General features: G+C 53.6%; 1 protein-coding gene across 6 annotated transcripts in view, besides 2 other annotated features; it reads left to right on the top strand.

Moving 5' to 3' along the window:
* Positions 1 to 20,576, top strand: part of SYT2 (synaptotagmin 2) — a 119,859-nt gene that overhangs the window by 63,226 nt on the left and 36,057 nt on the right. For 2 of the 6 annotated variants that reach the window (NM_001136504.1, XM_017000311.3), the window contains exon 1: positions 3,776 to 3,951. The exons of 2 other annotated variants lie outside the window; for them this stretch is intronic. The gene's annotated coding sequence lies outside the window, so the exon portion shown is untranslated. Of the gene's footprint in view, positions 1 to 1,991; positions 2,366 to 3,775; positions 3,952 to 20,576 lie in introns of those variants that run through there. 2 more of the 6 variants (XM_017000312.2, XM_017000313.2) reach the window with 2 other exon arrangements.
* Positions 3,517 to 4,449: an enhancer, noted in NCBI's record as "H3K4me1 hESC enhancer chr1:202611908-202612840 (GRCh37/hg19 assembly coordinates)". NCBI's record gives its function as "activates a minimal SCP1, AML or CMV promoter by ChIP-STARR-seq in naive and primed H9 embryonic stem cells {active_cell/tissue: H9 hESC(naive and primed)}" and the evidence as "EXISTENCE:reporter gene assay evidence [ECO:0000049][PMID:30033119]".
* Positions 9,049 to 9,614: an enhancer, noted in NCBI's record as "H3K4me1 hESC enhancer chr1:202606743-202607308 (GRCh37/hg19 assembly coordinates)". NCBI's record gives its function as "activates a minimal SCP1, AML or CMV promoter by ChIP-STARR-seq in naive and primed H9 embryonic stem cells {active_cell/tissue: H9 hESC(naive and primed)}" and the evidence as "EXISTENCE:reporter gene assay evidence [ECO:0000049][PMID:30033119]".

The raw sequence follows: 20,576 nt of genomic DNA, 5'->3' as shown, positions 1-20,576 counted from the left end.
TGTAGAGGAGGGACTTAGGAGTTGCCATCTCATTGGAAGGGAGGTAAGGGGCCTTTATTTTAGTCTGTGGACTTATTTGGAGGTGACTTTGGGGAGGATGCTGATAGAGATCATGAAGGAGGGTAAGGTCTCCCCAACCCTACCCTGGCCACCATGGCTCTGCCAATGCCTGTACCACAGCTCCAGGCCTGGGGTTTGTGCTGACGCTCGAGGCCAACGCAGGGACAGTGCAGAGAATCCTGTGCTTGGACGGCAGACCTGGAGAGGCAAAGCCTCAGTGGGGATGAGCTGGCTTCAGCTGCTGTCCACCTTGTCCAGGAAGCCTAGAGGGAGAAGTTAGGATTTCAGGAGCCACTAAGTGAGGTGGGGCTGCGGAGGAGAGAGAGTTGGGGGTCAGGAAGGGGAGGGATAGTTAGAACCCTGGGGGAGAAGGCTGAGGGTGGAGTAAGATGCTCCTTCCCTTATTCCTTCAGCCCTCTGTCTTCCCCAGCAAGGCCAACACTGCTATGCCAAGAATGGCACTGCGCTAGTCTCTCTATATACATTATCCCGTTAATCTTTACAAAAAGTCTGTTTTATAATCAAAATCCCCATGTCGCAGGTGAGAAAGTTGAGGCGTAGAGAAGTTATGCAATTTGCCTGTAGTCATACAGCATACAGAGGCAGCATGAGGATTTGAGGATGCAGGATTTGAGGTGTTTACTGAGTGCCTACTCCGGGCCAGTAGGCTCGGTGAGCAGGGGTCCTTGCCCTCCTGGAGCTTACAGTCTAGTGTTGTGGGGAGACTAGAACAAGGAAGGATAAGCGTGATGAGGGCTGCAGAGGAGAAGCACAGGGCACACAGGGAGAGGGGTCAGGGAACTGGGACTGGCAGGATGGAGGGGGTTGGCCTGGTGCAGTGGGGTGTGGAGGACAACATGTACAAATGCTCTGCAGCAGGAAGGAGCATGGCCCTTTGGGCCCTGCAAGGAGACAGTGAGGGAGTGGGCAGTGCCAGGTGAAGCTGGAAGGTGGGTAAGGGCTGCATCTAGAGATGCTGGTGCATGAAGCCTGAAAGGAGAGGACAGGGTAGGATGGACAGTCAGGACCTAAGGAGCACCTGGGGAGGAGGGCGGAGCTCCAGATATGCACCCAGCCCATGTAGACTCACAAGACCCAGCTCCATGCCCTAACCTACCTCAGGACCTTGGGTGAGTCATCCACCCTTTGGGGGCTCCCTGTGCCTCAGTGGAGTGAAGAATTATCCCTTCCTCGCCCTGCTGCCTCCTGGGAAAGTTGATAAGAATCAAGTGAAATTAAGATTATCAGGCTGTCATTGTCATCCCTATCAGGGGAAGGGTTCTCTGGGGCCTGAGGGGGCTCTGAGTGAAGCACAGCTGTGTTTTCTCCAGGGACCCACTGTGTTCCCATCCTCCCCCATTTTGGCCCAGCCGCTGCCTGTGCAAATGTCACCTGCTCCTTCCACATGCCATCAGAATTCCACTTCCGCCCAAGAGGGGAAAGGGCACATTGGAGGCAGTATAGACATTAAACACAGTATTTTCAGAAGGAGCAGACATAACCTTACAGAAGTGCTTTATTTTCTGTAATTAGACTTTATTTTACTGGAGGCAGCTTTGCATAAGGCTCAGGCGTCTCTTGGTCCATTTTATCAGAAGGAACCATGGGGGTCATTTCATCCATCCCTTTTCATCTAAGCAGCACTACATTCCAATCGTGAAGGCATAAGCTTTCCCTGTCAAGCAGGATGCTGCCCCAGACCCTTAGCATCAGGAAACCCCAAAGTCGAACCTGAATCCAGCCTGCTGAATGAAATTTGAGTCCCATCCTCCCTCGTCCTAGCAAAAGAAGGTTTGGGGGAGATTTCAAAACAGAAGCACTTTTCTCCCCAGGGAGAAACCGAAGAGGAGCAGCAGGTACTGCTCTTCAGCCCGCACACCCATCTCAGGTGACAGGTCCCCTCCTCAGTGTGGGATGACGAGGTGGGGGTAGGTTACGGGAGTGTAGCAGAGTGGGGGGAAACCCCTGGTGCCCTCCTGCTGAGCATCTGACCTTGAGCCCTTTACCCCAGGTCCCCCTTTCCATCTGAAGAACAGTGAGGGGTCAGCAGACCTGACTAGAGGGGCTCAGGCATGTGTCCTCTCCCCCAGCCCACACATGAACACACGCACACACCCTTCCCAACACCCAGGTATGCAGATGCACACTCCCCCACAGGAGGAGCCGCCCGGAAATCCCTGAATCAGCTTTTCTGCAGTCCAGGGTCTGTGACAAGCGAGCTGCTGCCCTTCTGAAGAGAGGCTCCAGCCCGGCCAGGAGCAGCGGGTGCTGCAGCACTTCAGTCCCCGGCTTCTTCGGGAGTGAGGTCTATGTCCTGGGGCAGGGGATGCCTGGAGGAGGGGAAGAAGGGGGATTCACTGCGGGTATTGGGAATTTCCCGGTTCCCCAGACTCTGTGGGGATGAGAAGCCCTGGAAAGCCCTGAGTGACTGCCCCCCCCAACACACATGCACACTGGATTTTTGTGTGTGTGGGTTGGGGGATGAGGAATGTCACTTCCTGGGTCAAACCCCAAACTCGAGTCCTGGTCCTGAGTGTGCAGAGTGGAAGGCAAACAGAAAGCAGCTGCATGGAGGGTGAAGGAGAGGCTGAGGGGAGAGGGCGAGGATGGGGTGGAGCTGGGAAGGTCAGGGGTGGTTAATGGCCGGACAGCAGCAGAAATTCCACCTGGCGAGCTGTGGCCCCGAGGTCTTATCGGGTGAGGTTGGGGGTTGAGGGTGAGGCCCAAGGGTGACACTGAGGCACAGGAGTGCTGCCCAGGCTCTCGGTCCTCCCTGCCCCTCCTGGTGCTCACCGTGGGTGTCAGCCTCGCTTTTCCCAAGTGGGAGAAAGCAGAGTTGTGGAGGTGGGAGGTGTCGGGTCCGTGGCAGAGCCCTTCTGCTGGGTTCCTGTCTGGGAGCAGGCAAGGGGTCCTGTGCCAGCAGACGCTCTTCCTCCTCTCCCCCACACCCGTACCCCTCCATCGCCCTTTCTCCCCTCCCCAAGTGGCCCGTGAAGAGCCCTGGCACCAGCCTTTACCTCACCCTCCAGGACAGACTGAGGGTGGGGACCGCGGGCTGCCGGAGCCCTCGGGGCGAACTCCCCAGCTCCCCTTCCCCTCCAGCATCTGCCTTTTGTTCCATCTCTCTTCTCCCTCCCTTCTCTCCCTTGACTCAGGAAAACCTTCATCCTTATCTCCCGAAGCAAATCGTTTCCCTCCCACCCCTGCCCGCAGGCCATTCCCTACAGCCAGGGGGTCCCCTCCCCCAGCTAATCCCCCGAACCGAGAGGCTGTAAACTCGGAGCTGGCGGGTGGGGTGGGGAGTGTTGCAGGAGTGCACGGAGCTGGCGGGGACTCCTCGGCAGAATCGGGGGAGTCCCGTAGGGCTCCGGGGGCTCGGAGCCGGCCCCGCCCTCCTCAAACTTCTGTAGGACCGCGCCAGTTTAAACCCCTCTCCCCCAGCCTAGTCCCTCCCGCACACACCTCCCCTTCTCCTGTCGCCCATTTTCCCCTCCGCTGGCAGTCCGGACTGGAGAAGGGAGGCGTGGGCGCGCGGAGGCAGCCTCCCCAGCAGCGGGGATTGCCTGGGGCGGGGGCCCTGCGTCGTGGTTTGCGGGGATCGCCCTCGGAGGGGCCGCACGCGCTGTGTGCAGGCGAATGTGAGGAGCATATCAATAGGCGGGCGGGGGAAGCGGGATCAGGTTGTTACTACTGCAGAGAGAGAGAGAGGAAGAGAATAGAGAGAGGGAGAGACTCGAGAGCGAGCGAGCGCGGGAGCGAGGGCCGCAGCGGCAGGGCCGGCGGGGAAGTGGGAAGAGGGACCTGGACTTCGGGACCCCAGCTGTCCCCGCCCCCGCCCCCGCCCCCGCCCTCTCCACCAGCTCAGGCTGAACGCGCCCGGAACGTCCCAGGGTAAGAGGGAACCCCAGGCGGGGCACCCCACGAGGGCAGCCAGTAGTCCCGAGCGAAGCCGTGCCTCGACCGACAGTGGCCACCTCTAGGGCCTGAGGCGTGGGCGGACGCGGGGTCGCCAAACGGTGACACTCCGACTTTTGGGACTTGGTGCTCACTGCGGGGTAAACTAAGAGTAGGTAGGACTGAGCCCGCGGTGGGAACTGTAATCCGGAAATCCATGGGCGTCGGAATTACCTGGCTAGACCCGGGGGAGGTGTCCTGAATTATTTCGGGAACCCCTAGCCCCCAACCTATCTCTCCCCGCGGAGAGCCCGGGTCCAAAGCGGAGAGAAGGCGAGAGAAGCCGCGGTGCCTTAGCGCTGGGACCAGGGACCTGCGGTGAAGCGAAGGCGACTCGCCGCAGAGAAGCCGTGGGAAGGGCGCGGGGAGGTGCATGAAGTGGGCGTGCGGAGAGAAGTGGGTGCGGGGCGCATGGGACCCTGCAGCGCCTGCCTCGCTGAGGAGGAGCTGGAAGACCATGCTCGCGCGACACTGGGGAGCCCCTGGCGCAGAGGGGGGTGTGCCGGAGGCACGGGCGGTTTGCAGGACTGGCTGCCTTTCTGAGCGCCCCCGCCTTGCCGCAGCCGTCCAGGGTTGAGATGAGCGGCTGCATTTTCCACCCCTTCCTCTCCCGGGAACTTTCCCACACTTTGACACGCGCCACGGCTCTGTGCATTGGAGGAAGCAGGCTCGCGGGGATCCTGGCAAGCTTGCAGAGACCCGGGTGGGCGATGGGAGGGGGCAGCTGGGCAGTGGAAACGAGGGCCCTACTCAGTTTGCTGTGTGACCTTGGACAAGCTACTGCACCTCTCTGAATCTCAGGATGATGGAGCGCATGGTGCCCAAGACAGGAATGGGGACGAGGTGGGGGAGGGCGCGCGGGGGGACAAGCTCATGGGCACGCCTGCCCGAGCCTCTGCACCTGGGAATCGCTGCCTTTGGTCACTGGCCTCTCTTAAGTGAGTTCAGTGCTCACTTCCGGGGCAGGGGGTGTCAAAGTGGAGCTGTGAACGCAGCGCCCCAGGGAGAGTCCGAAAGCTTCCATTCTGACCTGTCCTATGACCTTGGGCAACTCACTGACCCACTCTGGGCCTCAGTATCTTCATCTGGAAAATGGGGTTTGGAATTTAAGGTATCTGAGGTTTCTCCCAGTCCCAACACCCTGCAGGTGTTGCCCACTGAAAGGATGGGGGTGGGGTAGAATGACCTAGCTGGGTAGAATGACCTATCCTCTGGGAAGACTGTAGCTCCCCTACTGCACCCCCCATCCCAAAGTAGCAGGGCTGTGACACCCTCAGCCTGTTCATTGGTCATCTCTCCCCACTTTCAGAATCCAGCTGATGGGGAGAAAGGCCGGCTTTCCAGCATTACACATCCTCTTTGCAGAGGGCAGATTCTTTCCTAGAGAAAGGTTGGCTGTGACAGACAGATGACTATAGGTTAAAGGGTGATGTCAAGGACCTCACAAGGTCATGCGGTCTGCTCTCTACCTCCAGACAGGGCTGCATTCATCTCAGATAAGGAAGATCTGAAGGAATTGTCTCGTTTTAGAAAGATCTCCACTACAATAGCCTAGAGCACCCCACTGTGCAATGTGACAGTCCTTGCCATAGGAAAGTCTAATCTAACTCCTTTTTGGATGAACTCTGGTTCTGTCTTCGGTTGAGATGAGACAATAACTTCTTACTGGGCATTAGGGTGTTGCGGACGAGTCCCAGTTTGAGACAAGAGAGCTGAGTTTAATTTACAGGCTCTGCCTCCAATTTTGTGACCTTGTGTGACCTTGGGCAAGGCCCTTTCTTGCTTTCCTCGCCTGTACATTGAGAAGGTAGAACTAGATAACTTCTCAGGCCCTTGCAACCCCACAGTTCTGTGGCTGCAGTTCTGGGCTGGTGTCTGAGTCCAGGAAGTGGGCTTGGCTGGGTGATGGGAGCAGGTGGTCTCCAGGAATTCCCAATGCATTGCCCTCCCACTTCTGTCACCAGAGTCGAGACAAATTGAGACAAATACTGTATATGAATTTCAAAGCCAGGCACACCCCTGGAGGGGGAGTCCCCAGGAGACCTTGGCTCTACTGGTTATTAGCTGTGTGACCTTGAGCAAATTACTTTATATCTTAGAGCTTCAGTTACTAAGTAGTCAAAACAGAATGAGAATAGTGGTGGTATTTTAGGGTTTTTATGAGGATTAAACAAGAAGCATATGTAAATACTTGGTCCAGTACTGAGCTGTCTAAGTCCTCAATGAGTGGTAGCTATTGTTAATAATAATAATACAAGCTGCGTAGCAAGCAGGTGGCAGGGCAGCTGTGAGTAGTGGCCATGGGGAGCAGGGAAAGATTGTGGACTTGCAGTGTGATCTTCCTCTACCATCTTGAAAGCTTCCCTACAAAATGGGAACATCAGCTCTGTCTCACTGTCTCTCTGTCTCTCTGTCTGTCTGTCTCTCTCTCTCTCTCTCTCTCTCTCTCTCTCTCTCTCTCTCTCTCTCTCTCTCTCTCTGACCATTAGGACCATTCTGCAGTAGAAACTTCATGGGAAACAGAGAGACTGCCTGACTTTCCAATAATCTCACACCAGTTTTCCTTGGTTCTCCCTTCCCCACTCTCTGCCACACCTCTGTGGTTATGAAAAAATGGGCCTTTTACTCCATTCCCCAAACCTTCTAGGAATGGACCAACTGAGAAGCAGAGAGGCGGTAAAGCCAGATGTCCCTGGAGTGAGTGGCTAAAGGCATGTCTACACCCAGGTGGAAGGAGTGGCAAAGGGACTGGCTCAACCTGGAGGGGGACTCCCAGGACCCCATGGCCGGGACTGAAGTTTACCCTAGACTTGCTGTGTGACCTTAGGCAAGTCGCACACCACTGTGGACCTCAGTTTTCTCATACGTGAAGTGAAAGCTTGGTTTAGATGACCCAAAGTCCTTCTGGCTTTGTTGGTCCGTGACCCTGCTGGCTCTGCCTTTGCCAAGGCTGGGTGGGGCGGGGTGGGGTGGGGTGGGAGGTTTGTTGGAGTCGTTCAAGCTTTGGGTGTTCACTGCCCCGTGATTCCAGTCCTATAAGTCAGCTTGGGGAGAGGCGATGACCTCCCCTTCTCAGTAAGAGCGCTGATGGTTAAGAGCAAAGGCTTTGCAGGTAGATATATCTAGGTTCCCATCTTGGCTTGCTCCTTAATATCTGTGTGAATTCAGGCAAATTACCAACCTCTCTGAGCCTCAATTATCTCATCTGTGAAAAGGGAATATTACCAACCTGGAATAGGAAGTCTGTAGTGTGTTATTGACTAATGCACAAGGGATGGGTTTTTGAGGTTCTATGTTATCACAGAGAGGGCTCAAATTACAGGAGGAGCAGGGATACAGTTCACAGTCCTGCAGTTGTCACCATGCACACGATCCCCCAAAATGCCCCAACGTCCTGTGTCCTCCTCTTGCTGCGCACTGGCCTCAGGCTCCAGGAGTTTGCATGCTCTAGTCTTCGTCATGGGGCCTGGAGAAAGGAAGAGCTCAGCCACAAAGGCCAAAGGCCAAGCAAGCAGCATGAGTCTGAGAGAAGTGTGGCTGACAAAAGGCTCCTGATGATGAGGGAACGCAAGCCAGCAGCATGGCATCCCTCCATTCAAGGTTAGTCATGAGGAAAGGCTGTGAGATGCAGCCTTGGAGAAAAGCTGAAGGAGCGGGGAACACCGCCTTCCACAGAGATGTGTTAGATGAGTGGCACGGCAGGACGAGGCACTGAAAGGGGCTGTGGGATCATCTCATCCAGCCCTCTGTTTTGATTATGGGGAAACTGAGGCTTAGGGGGAGCTCCAAGCCCAGCGACGGAGCTTGCCAGCCCTTGTAGACCCTCAATCCAACGCTCTTTCCTTCCTCCCTGTTAAGCACCAAGCAGTTATTTTCCATCTTTTCTAAAATCAGAGCACAAGGTAAAATGCCTTGACTGCAGCAGAAAGGACATGGGTCCTGATAGGAAGGAACTTCCTGATCTAGATACTGAGATCATGGGGTCCAACCTTCCCATTTTGCAGAATAGAACACGGAAGCCCAAGAAAATTAAAGAACTAGCATAAGGTGACCCGGTATCAGACACTTGAATTCCCAGGCCTGAGCTCTCTCAGTTATGCCAGCTATGCCACGCTGCTGCTCTTGAGCCAGACAGGGCAGCAGGATAGCCAAACGTGAAAAAAATAATCCCAGATGGGCTTGGGGAAGGGAGGGAGGACAGAAAGACAACAGACCAAAAGACAGAAATATTACTTCCAAGACCACGCTTTTCTTTCTCAGCTTGTCACAGTTGGCCCCTGCTCAGAGCTGTTGAGGCTGGCAGCTTGCTTTGCCCTCTGAGAGGAGAGAGGAGGGAGACAATAGCCAGCCCCACTGGTCTCACTTCCATTGACAAGGCTGAGTGAAAGAAAGTCAATATTTGCCCAGGGGCAAAGGACGGGGAATAAGTCTGACTTGGGATGGGGCGGGGTAGGGGCGAACAGGGTAGGGTGATGGGGAGTGTTTCTGAAAAGGAAGGTTGCAGCGTGTAGGGCCTCGGGTGTGAGCACTTGACTTCTGAAGGAGCCTTTGGATTTTCCGCATTAAATAACCCTTTGTATCTTGGAGTGCATCCGGCTGCATTTGCAGGCACCATCCTCCTGGAAGCCCTGATCCCTAATAAATTTCCCTTATTGTTTGGAGCTGACACCTCCCCAGCTTCCAGCTCCCTGGAGAAATGGAACTTTTGAAGCTTTTGCAGAAAGGCCTCCGAGCAGATGGCCCATTGAGCGGGTCTCTCAGGCAGAGCCTGCAGAAGCTGCAAGAAAGGCTCAGTTCCTTATCTGGGCCCCCAAGCCTAGGGAAAGATGTGGAAAAAGTCCTTGGCAGGTCAAGAGAGGCTGTGAATATTTTTTTTTCTTCCTTTGTTTTGTTATCTTTCCATTTTTCTTCACCACATGCTGCTCCTTTTTTCTCTGTGTCCTGAGACTGGGGAGGGGCTGGGGGGGAGGAGGGGCAAAGCCCACAGCCTTTCCCCAGCTGGAATGGAATTCTTGAACCCTGTAGCAGCTGCCGTCTGCTTCAGTGGCTTTTGTGATTGCTGTGTTACTCATGGAATCGCATCTTAGCAATTTAACAAAGGGTGCATTTGGAAGCAGAAGGGTTTCTAGTAGAAGGTAATGTGGCTGTACTGCAGCAGGAAGGGCTCATGTGAGGTACAAGGAAGGACTTCCTACCGGGGAATTGCCCGCTGTTGGCAAATCTGCTAGGTGGAAAACCTTGGGAGTTGATCCACCGGACTCCCTTATTCTCTTGGGAATGAGCTAGGTTTGTTACCTGCCCCTGAAGGGGCCACAGTGACATTCCTGGAGGTCAGCGCTGCCACCCAAGACTAAACCTGGTCCCGCAGCCACCAAATTGATCATCAGGGCCGGCAGTCCTTGGAGACCAGAAAGCCAGAGTAGCTTCCAAAGGCCTTAGTTTGGCCCCGGGCACTGAGGGAGGGGCAGAGGGTGAAAGGGGGAAGGAAGGCCCTTGGCCTGGCCTCAGCCCAGCCAGCCCTGCAGCCAGGAGAGATACTGCAGCACCTATGAGCAGCCGGCAGGAGAGTCTCTCAAAGCTGCTGCTCACAGTGGGGCAGACGGAGCCTGCCAGCTCCAAGCCTGCCTTCAACCTGCTCCCCACTGCTCGGCTGGGCTGGGACTTGAGGGCAGCCGGCTGCTCAGAGACAGATTGCAGCCTGTCCCCCATCCCCACCCCCAGCACATGGCGCCTGGGTGAGAGCACAGCCCAGCTTCTGGACTTATGTGGACTTCTTGCATGCGTACTTTGTCCTGAGCCGACTCGTGTGCCCCTAGTCCATGGTTTTTGGTTTTGGTTTTCGGTTTTGGTTTTCAGGTTTTTTGAGACAGGGTCTCACTCTGTCGCCCAGGCTGGAGTGCAGTGGTGTGATCACGGCTCACTGCAGCCTCAACTTCCCGAGGCTCAGGTGATCCTCCCACCTCAGCATCCCACATAGCTGGGACTACAGGTGTGCACCACCATGCCTGGATAATTTTTGTTTTGGGAGGTTTTTCTTTGTTGTTGTTGTTGTTTTGGTAGAGGCAGGGTTTCACCATGTTGCCCAGGCTGGGCTCGAACTCCTGGGGCTCAAGCAATCCTCCTACCTCAGCCTCCAAAAAGTGCTGGGATTACAGGCGTGAACCACCATGCCCAGCCCCTAGTCCATGTTTTAGTGAGACTTGGGATATGAGGAGCCTTGTACTTGCATGTGCTTGGCACTGTGGTGCAGTGGTTAAACCTCAGATGCTAGGGCTAGGTTGCCTGTATTCAAATGCCAGCTCCTCCAGTTTTTTATCTGTGGGACTTTGGCTAAGTTACTTAAACACTTGTTACCTCAGTTTCCTCATCTGTAAAATGGAAATGAAATAGCTTGCCATCAGGTTGGCATGAGGATTTAATGTATGACTATTTACATATAGCTCTAAGAATAGGCAGTGCCTGACACAACGGTGCTGTAAAGATTTTGCTATAAAGTAATATAAAGAGTGTTATTATGGTGTTTCTGAAAACTGACGTTTTGTAGATAAAGAAACATAGCAGCAGAGCTGGGAGTGGGGCGAGGCAGGGATATGATTGGCTTTGATGAGAAGAACCTAGAATCCAGTGAACCCACTATTAAGTTACTGCACATGGCCCCAGGCAAGCGGTTTTTCCCTATCTCTTGGACCTCAGTGGTCCCCATTAAAAAATGTGGAGAGGGATGCCTGTCTTTCTCACTTCTCCCAAGATGTCCTGGGATCAAATGAGGCAGACGATGATTTGAAATAGCCAGTGAGCCTAGCGGATGCACAGGTTGGCCTCTCCCTCTCCCTGCTCTGGAGCACATGCTGGCTTTCTGGCTGAGGTCCTGGCATGTTGGGCTTTCTACCAAGGGCACCAAACCCAGTGGACTGCTCTCCCAGTGAGGCCACTTGGACTCTGGGTGGCTCTGGGCTGAATCTGGCCCTCCTCATTTTCTGTTCCTTATTTCACCTGGAAAAAGGATGGTGGTTTTGTATCTCCTAATGCTCCTTAGCAAGAGAGAAGGAGTGTTTCTGAATGCAGTCTGTAGTTGTACAAGCAGAGAAGGGGGCAGGAGAACCTCTCCTTCAAGCTGGGACACCCTGGCCATGAGCCCCAGACAGACTGAGGTGATGCCTTCCCTGGGTTGTCAAAACTGGGAGCTCCTTCCCCCTACCACTTGCAGCCAGACTATCCACAGTGCAGGGAGGCAGGCAGGGGGCTGATCAGAAGCAGCACATTGAGTCAATATCACATTCAGCATCTTTCCTGCCAGGTAAGACAAGGACCCTGGTTGTTAGTGCCCTTGTCGCTTCCTCCTCTTGCCTCCTTCCTGGCTGGGAGGGAGAGCCAACCTGATCTGCTCATAGTATTGCATTGATGGTTAGGTTAGGGCCTCATGGTTTGGCCCCCAATATCTTCTGCCAAGAACCATGGGGGTGACCAGGCTGTGTATACCCAAGCAAGCAACCAAGTGATGCCCACTGTCCTACAGACTTCCCACCTGGTCATCTGGGGTGAGTTGTACGTAAGGAGAGGGAGGGCCACTTTAGAAATGGCCTTAGAAATGTCTGCTTCTGGAGCTGTCCTCAGAGCTTCTTCCTGAATATCATTTTACCAAGAGCCCCAGAGATGAGGTTTCTTGGCCAAGGTCACCCCCAAAATCAACTGTGAGCTCATGTCTTGAAGTCCACTATGTTTCTTCTGCCCCATTCCCCAGGCTTCCCTAAAGAAGATATCCAGCATTGGCTAGAAATGTAGGTTTCCCTTCTGGTGCCTGTCTCCCGTGACCCTGCTCCTGACATCAAATCCCCCTCAACATCATCCCTTGTAAGTTCTATGGGTTTGGATTAGAGAGCGGGGAGAACTTCCTGAGTGGCCTCATTGGGACAGGGAATGGAGGCTTTCCCCAAGATACATAAGGGCAGACCTGCTTTCCATGAGTGTGGGCTGGATCAGGTCTTAGGAGCTTCAGGAGTTCGACAACACAAAGTCCAAAATCAGGTTCTGCGGCCTCCTAGCCATGGGACTTTGGGCAAGTTGCTGACTCGCTCTGAGCCTTATCATTAAATTGGAATGGATATGATTTACTATCTTATTTATAGAAGTTTATAAATATATATTTACTTTTTGAAAACAGCTTTATTGAGCTATAATTCACATACGATACAATTCACCCATTTAAGCGCACAATTCAATAGTTTTTAATATATTCACAGAACTGCACAACCATACCACGATCTAATTTCAGAACATTTTTTCACCCCTGAAAAGGAACTCCATACATATTAACAGTCACCCTCGATTCTTCCATTCCTCCCAGCCTTAGCCAACTAATCATCTACTTTCTGTCTCTATGAAGTTGCACCTTCTGGATATTTGATTTAGATGGAATTATATAATACATGGTCTTTGGTGACTGGCTTCCTTCACTCACATAATGCTTTCAAGGTTTAGCCACATTGAAGCATGTATCGATACTTTATTTCTTTTTATTGCCAAATAACATTCCATTGTGTAGATATACTGCGTTTTATTTCTCCATTCATCAGTTGATGGATGTTTGGTTGATTCCACTTTTCAGCTACTCTGAATAATGCTGCTATCAACATTTGTGGAAGGGTTTTCGTAAGGATATGTGTTTTCATTTCTCTCGGGTATATGCCTAGGATTGTCAAATGGTATACTTTTTTTTTTTTTGAGATGGAGTTTCACTCTTGTTGCCCAGGCTGGAGTGCAATGGCACAATCTCGGGTTCAAGCAATTCTGCTGCCTCAGCCTCCCAAGTAGCTGGGATTACAGGCATGCGCCACCACGCCCAGCTAATTTTGTATTTTTAGTACAGATGGGGTTTCTCCATGTTGGTCAGGCTGGTCTCGAACTCCTGACATCGGGTGATCCACCCGCCTCGGCCTCCCAAAGTGCTGGAATTACAGGTGTGACCCACCTCTCCCGGCCAGTATACTTATTTTTAAATGGTATATTTATATTACTAGGCTCTGTTCTAAGTATTTCATATGGATAGTCTCCTTTAATTATCACAATACTCTACAAGGTAGGTACTATTATGAATCCCCTTATTATAAAGTGAAGAAATGGAGGCATCATTTGAGGGACATCAAGGGATTTGTCCAAGGAGACTCAGCTAAGAGAGCCAGGATTTGGACCCTGGCCTCTGGCCCTTTGCTCTTCCACCACCTTGCTCCCACATGTGAGATTTAAGTGAGAGAATGTCTGAAAGTGCTCCCAGCCTGACTGTAGTAGGTGCCCAAGAAATGTTTGTTGGATGCTGGGAAAGGACCAGAAACCTTGCATTTCGCTGTCTGACTCACCATGTGGCTTTAGGGAATTTGTGTCCCTTTGAGCCTCAGTTAAATTTCCCCAATACATAAAGCTTCAATATGGCATTTCATAAGAGACAGGGCTGAGATGGGAGGTGCAATATCATGGAAAGGGCCCTGGATTCTAGCTCTGGCTCTCTCACTGGCCTCTCACCATTCAGTTAGAGGCTGTAACAATTGATCCTAAGTTTCCTTCCAGCTCTCCCATCCTATATAAGTTCTATGTTCTTCCTCAGCAACTGGAGCCCCCTAGGGAGCTAAGCTGGGATGGGTGCCCAGGGCCTCAGGTCACTGCTGTGCTCAGCAACACTTCTCCCACCCAGTGTGTTAAAGGCCAGGTAGGGGCTGAGTGGGATGAAGATGGGGAGAGGGGAGGACCCACCCTAGGCCTCCCTTCCATTATGGAGCCCTTGGTGTGGGCTGGAGACCTTCTATTCTCTCAGCCAGAAAAAAGCCACCTCACCTACACATCCCCTCAGTCTTCCCTGGCTCTCCTTCTCTTGAGTCCTGCTCCTCTGGAGTCACTGCAGCCCTCATTCCAATGAACTACCCAGCCGTCTTTGGAGGCTTGGCCTAGCTCCTGGTTTGGGATCACTTATGGGAAAGAGCTGGGCACCCAGTGGGTGCCCAGCATATTTTGGTGACTTAAATAGGGATCAGTATTTGAGCTAGTGGCTTCCCCTAGGTCATGATTCCCCAGTTCACTTTTCCCCATCCTTTGTCAGCAAGAGCATTCACTGCATTCTGCAAATCTAACCTGGCAGCACCAAGCGAGGCGCGTCTGCATCTTCCAACTGCACAGCCACATCCTGTAAACTTTTCCTTGGCCCTCCCTTTAGTCCATATTCCTTACTTCCTGGATGCCACCGGTCAGAGTGCCTCCTGCATCCCAGGTCCTGTGCCAAACACATAACATACAGGATGGTGCATTTACCCCTCTGTGGTGGGAATTTGTAGCGTCTCTAGTTTATAGAAGAGGAAGCACATCCAGAACAGGGAAATAACTTCTCCAAGGCCACCAAGCTGGTAGGTAACAGTGGAAGGATTTGAGCAAAGGCTGTCTGGTCCCAAATCCTGCATCATTTGACTGAAAGGAAAGATGGCATAAAGGGCTTTTAAGGGGGTGCCCAGAGCCAGGGAAATCAGGAGGAGCCTCTCTGGGCAGGTGGGCTCTGGATTCCTCCGGGGCAGGTCTGTGTCTCTGTGTCTTCTCTTTTCCCCTGCTTGGAGAAGAGTCGAGCCTGTTGGGTAATGCCTGGGAACACCCTCCTCTGGGCTTAGTCTTCTCATCGACAGAACAGGGTCTGACATTTCCAGCAGGCCTGTGCGCCAAGCTTACCTAGAGATCCGGCGATGGCTACGCAGCCTTTCTTCCACTGGTTATAGAGTCAGTTTCTCCCAGGTTTGCTGTTCTTGCCTGTAGTGTGATGAGCCGGAGTCTCATCCCCAGCTCCCCATCCCCCAATATCTGCGTGTCTCACTATTTTTAAGCTCCGTGGGCTTAATGAGCTGCCTGCCATGACACGTCTTCAACATTTACCTTTTTCTCTAATGAGCCTCAGAGAGCTAGGTTGGGCTTATTTTTCCCTTGACAGTCCCCCACCCCAGTCAGGAGGCCAGAACTGGGCTATTTCCCTTCTGGGCCCAGACTTGGCTTCCTGAGACCCCCACAGCAATGTGCCCCACAAATTATCTAGTGGTGGCAACACTGCAGATTCCAGGCCCTGGGGAGCTGGCTCCTTCTCTGGTGCCACCTTCTGTCTTGTTTCTCCCCTCTTACCCCACCTCAGCCCCTTCCTGCAGAGTGGCAGTGTCATAAAGGAAGCTCTTGTGGTCCTCACATAATTGGCAGCTACTTCTCCTTGAGGACAAACTGCCTGGCGAACCAGCAGGGCCTGGCGAATGAGGCCAATCAGCAGCAAGGGCTGGGATGGAGATGTCAGAGATTTAGAGGCTCTCAGGGTTGGAAGGGAGACCTCAAATTTCATCTAGGTCAGCGCTGTGTCCCCTTACCTGAGTCCTGTCTATAACACCCCTCCCAATAGTGGGCTAACCTCAGCTTGAATGCTCCCAATGATGGAGCCCTCATTACCTCCTGGGACCATGAACTCATCAATGGGTGGTGCTGACTGTGCAAAAACCCTCCTTCATTTTGAGCCTAAATCTATTCTCCCACATGAAGAGAGGAGACCCCCGCAGTGGGTTCATCCATCTTCTGGCTCCAGCCCTCGGTGCTGTGAAGGAGCCGCAAGTCACTCTTCATGAGGAACCATGCCTGGTGTCTTGGGTGGGGGCAGAGGCACCGCTGATCCACAAAGATGTGGTGTGATTTTTTTCCTCTCAGGGGACTTTGCTTGGGGGAGGGGCCGCTGGGAAGAGCCAAGAAGCTGCTAGAAAAAAACTTAAGTCGTTCCTGTTTCTCAAGTGCAAAGTGAACCTGCAGCAGAACATTAGAAACCCTGATGCAGGCTAGCTGTGTTTACGGGGACCATTACATGCCGGTTCTCTGTTGCCAGCTCCAGGGAGTCAGGGTCTGATAGGAGCCACCCCAGGTATTCCATTTATAGTCACAGCTCCAAGCAGGGGTCATCTGTAGGGTGAACTGGAACTCCCTGCGGTTCCAGAGAGCCACAGATGCTCACCCATGCTGGCTTTGGTAGGCAGGCAGCTCATTAAGCCTCTCCGAGGCTCAGGATTTTGCCAGCTTGGAAGAGCACTGGATTGGGAGGCAGGCTCCTTACTCTGCCACTTTGGACAAGTCCCTTCCTCTCTCTGGCTGTCAGTTTCCTCGGCTGTGATATGTGCTATGTGTGGACCTTCAGAAATGGTGCAGGGCTGGGCCCTGCAGCTGCCGAATGCCGTGTGTGTGGGTGGAGGTGCTTCATCCTGGGCTGTGTTCTGCAGGACACAGTGTTTGTCACCAGTGGTCATATGAAGGGGACAGTCCTCTGCCCACTTCCATTCCACCTCTCCTCTGGCCCAGAGCAGGGAGGCCAGAGCCCTGTGTACTGCTAGGCAGGGCAACGGCCCATTCTCAAATGTTTCCTGGGGCCCGGGGTGTGGAAAGATGCTTCCGCTCCTGTGAGGGAAAACCTTGAGGCCTCTGGTGTCCTGGACCAGGGAGGCTCTCCTGCCCTAGGTCAGGCTCTGAGGAGAGGGTCCCAGATGATGGCGTCTCTGGAGCCAGGGGTGTGTTCGGCTGTGTCATCACCTTCCCAAGTCAGCTGTCATCACTGCACTTTCCAGGGTGGTGGCTGTGAGGGGTCCCATCATGGTCTGTGGTTTGTCAGACACCCACCCAGGTGGACGTCTCTTGCCTGGAAAGTGGCCAGCCTCTTCCAAGCCCACCCCATCTCCTCCTAAACCTTGGCTCCCTGCTGCTCTTCCAGGAAGCCTTTCCTCAGTGGCTCCCTGGTTCTAGGTGCCTTTGCCCTGTGGTTCTCAGCAGAAGCGCCTGTGCATCATGGGAAAGCCGGTTGGCGATGGGATGCACGGCGCTCTATTGGGGTCTGTGTTCCCTCTCCCCATGTGTCCTCCAGCACCTGGTCAAGCCAGAGTGTGTGGGAGCCAGGGGTCAGCCCCCAGCTCTTTCTGCTCTGCACATTCGTTTTTCTTTTTGATGTAGTTATAACTTAGATTCAGCAAAGTGCACAACTTATGGATATATGCACCAGTGTAATCACCAAAGAAATTCCCCAGAAGGATCCCTGTCCCCTCCCAGCCCCTGCCTGCCCCTCCAGTGTAACTGCTCTATTGCCATGGAGTCATTTTCTGTTCTTCGGAGCTTTCCTCCCATTCCTGGTCATTTCTCAATCTCCCTGGCTTTCTTCTTTCTCTACAAATCCTCCAAATGCTGATATTTCTAGAAGCCCATCTCTGGATTTCTTCTTATGCCCACACTCTCCCCAGTGGATTATCCTTTTGTGCTAGTGACTTCCAGAGTCACTTCTGAGCAACACACCTGCCGTACCACCCCCCCCCCCCCACCAGCTGCCTGCTGGGTATGGCCGCTTGGCTGGTCCGCTGGCATGGCTAGGTCTTACCTAATGTCAAACTCCTGGGCTCCAGTGATTCTCCCACCTCAGCCTCCTGAGTAGCTGGGACGACAGGCATGCACTACCATGCCTGGCTAATTTTAAAATTTTTTGTAGAGATGGGGTTTCACTGTGCTGCCCAGGCTGGCCTCAACCTCCCAAAGTGCCGGGATTACAGGTGTGAGCCACCACACTAGGGATAGGTTTTGGCTGGGACACCCTTGGGGAGTCTGGGCAACCTCACCTCTTCACATCCCAGTGTTGTCATCTATAGGATGGGAGTGGCAGCTAGAGGAAGAACAGCTAGACTCTGCTGACTTCTGAGAGGAGGATGTGGTCAGATACCCACAAATGAGAACTTGATACCCACAAATGAGAACTTGAAAGCTTGAGCAACCAAAATAGAGACTTAGCAGCCACTGTTGGAGAAGCCATGGCTGCTGAGAGGCCTGAGTATTGGGGAAGGTGGGCTGGAGGAGGGGGAAAGCCTTGGCAGTATCTGGACACAGGGGCAGGAAAGAAGCCAGGGATAGTGCAATGGCTCAAGAGAGGCCTTGGCCCAGAGGTGGGCATCAAGAAGGCCATCTGGGCTGGAGCTAAAGGCATGGGTAGAAGGAGGACCATTTATTAAGAGAGGCCTGAATTATCTCAGAAAATAATAATTTAAAAAAAGGGTATTGGCTTAACCTGGTCCTTAATAGGGAGTTAGCAGAGAGGCTGCCCCACCTCTCCACTGGAGCCATCCCTGTGTGCTTCTGACAGGCCCGTGCCCAGCCTGGCTCAGGAACCGGCCATGGCCATAATACCATGCTTTACATACAGTGCTCCTAAGCCTCGCAGCCCTGCGCAGCAGCTTCCATTATCATTCCCATTTTGCAGACGGAGTGCTGAGGCCCAGAGAGGTTAAGCAACCTGTTCAAGTTCCCATGGCTAAAAGAGCCGAGACTCCAGTCCAGGTCAGTCTGCCCAGAGCCCAGGTGCTCATTCACCCCACTTGGCAGCACCTGGTGTTTCACTTGGCTCCTCTTCCTCAGCGGAGCTGTCTTCTAGGTTTGGATCCACATAGAATTCCAAGTTGAGGCTTTCCAATTTGGAATTCTCCCCCTCACTGCTCCCCTCCTCCAGCCCATGGGTGTTTTGAGGCCATGGTTCATCCCTCCTGGCCCCTATCTCCCATGTCTGTCCCGGCCCCCGGTCAGGCAGGAGAGAGCTGGCTTCTTTGGAGCACCTAATTGTGCCCCCGGGACTTGCATGCTCCACTTTAGTTTCTGGAGACCATGAGCTGTCATAGGTGTTGGTGATAATGGGCATCTCTGTCTGAAGAGTGATGGGCACGTCTCTGTCCCTGGGGCCTGGCCAGCACCTGGAAGGATGGAGGCGCTCTTGGAAACGGGAGGACCAGACTGCACCTTCTTTGGCTGGCTCCCTGCCTGGGATGCTGGCTCCCAGCTCCCACTGAGAGCAGGCTGGGCTCCCCAGACATCTCATGACCTCTCCCAGGTCCTGGTGTGGCCCAAAGCGAGCTGCTCTGCTACCTGGGAGTACAGCTCTTTCCATCCTCTGGGGAAGGGTGCTTGAGCGAGTGACCTGTTTCGCTCCCCCTGAGGCCCAGTTTCCTCAATTACAAAATGGGAATCACAGTCCCCACCTCACAAGGCCCGGATGAAATGAAATATGCCGCTGGCACGGAGTGGGCACAGTGGAGGTCTCCCTCCCTGCCCCCGGCACCCACCTCTGAGCCCGGTGCCTTTGTGATCTTCCCGTTAGACCCACCTTCCCAGTGTGCTTGAGGAGCTCCCTGGGGCTCTTTGTTGGGAAGGAAAGAGCCCTGGGCTGGGTGCTGGGAAGTCAGGGTTCAAGTGCACTGGGAGGCCCTGGGCAAGCTGATCTCAGAGCCTTAGTTGTCTCCTCTGTCAAGGGGCAGAACCACATCTGCTGCACCTCCCAAAGGCCTGAGCTCTGTCGTCTCCCTGTGAGCTGCTTCAGGATGGGGTTGGGTTTTATTCATCTTGTATTCCCAGCACTTAGCATGGAGCCTGACATAGGATTTGGAGGAAACGAAAGTGAAGATCAGATGAAAGAGTGGATTTTTAAGCAATTAAACATGCTAGGGGTTATTTTCAAGTTTGGGTAAGGCAGACAACTCCTGGTCAAACCCTCATTAACCAGGGAAGTGGTCTTCATGCCCTTCCTTTGCGCATTACTCTCCAGAGAACCTGAGCTGCACTGGATCTCCTTTCCCCATGGGGAGCCATGGGCCTGCCTACCTATAGTGGAGCACTGCAAGGCAGTGCGCCTGCCCGTCCACACCCCACCCATGACCACTCAGGCCCTGGGTGTCACGGTCTGACCTAGACAGGGTGCCTCTTTTGGCTTTGGGGTTTCTCTTCTCTCCTTTAGCAGGGAGCTTGATGGGACGGAGGTTGCCAGAGTTGGGGGGCAGTTCCTGGTGAGATCCCCCACCTCCTCCATTTCCTGCTATCAGGCTCAGCAATCAGGCTGCTCCTCTGGGAGCTGGCAGGAAATGCAGTCGTAAACAAGGCACGTTCCCACCTCACAGCCCTAGTGGTCCCCTGGGAGCTGAGCTGCTTATACAAGTACCTTTGACACCAGGAAGAAGTGACGCAGTCTCTGCAAGAGGAACACACAGAGCCAGGGAAGAGAATTCTGGGCCTTAGGCTCCCCAGCCGCACAACCTCTGCAGCAACCCTTGCCCTCCTGGACAGAGCCTGGACTGGCTCAGAGTCCCTGACTTGGCGAGCACTGCACCCCTCGTTGTGGGTAACACAAGGTCTGTCCTTGAGTTCGTGGTCAGCATGGACTCAGCCTAGCCCCGCTGAGAGGAGAACTGAGGAAAGGAAATGAGTATTTAGGGTCCACTTTGTGCCAGCACATGTGGCCTCTTCAATCCTCATAACATCCCTGTGAGACAGGCACCTGATCCTCGGTTTGTAGCTAAGAAATGATCCCAGGGAAATGAACTCATCTCCCAGGGCTGCAGAGCTGCTAAGTGTCAGGTTGGAAAGCAGCCCTGGCTGTTCTAAAGCCCACGTTCTCTCATGACCCCACCACCCTTTCTGCCGCTTGCCTTCAGAGGTAGAACTCTCCAAGCATCTCGGAAGGCTGGGTTCTAAAAGCTGAGAGGCTATCTAGGCTGCATGCGGTG

Source organism: Homo sapiens, chromosome 1, assembly GCF_000001405.40.
Source record: "Homo sapiens chromosome 1, GRCh38.p14 Primary Assembly".
Classification (NCBI taxonomy): domain Eukaryota; kingdom Metazoa; phylum Chordata; class Mammalia; order Primates; family Hominidae; genus Homo; species Homo sapiens.
The sequence above is the reverse complement of the archived record's forward strand: the minus strand, read 5'-3'. Positions and strand labels throughout refer to the sequence as shown.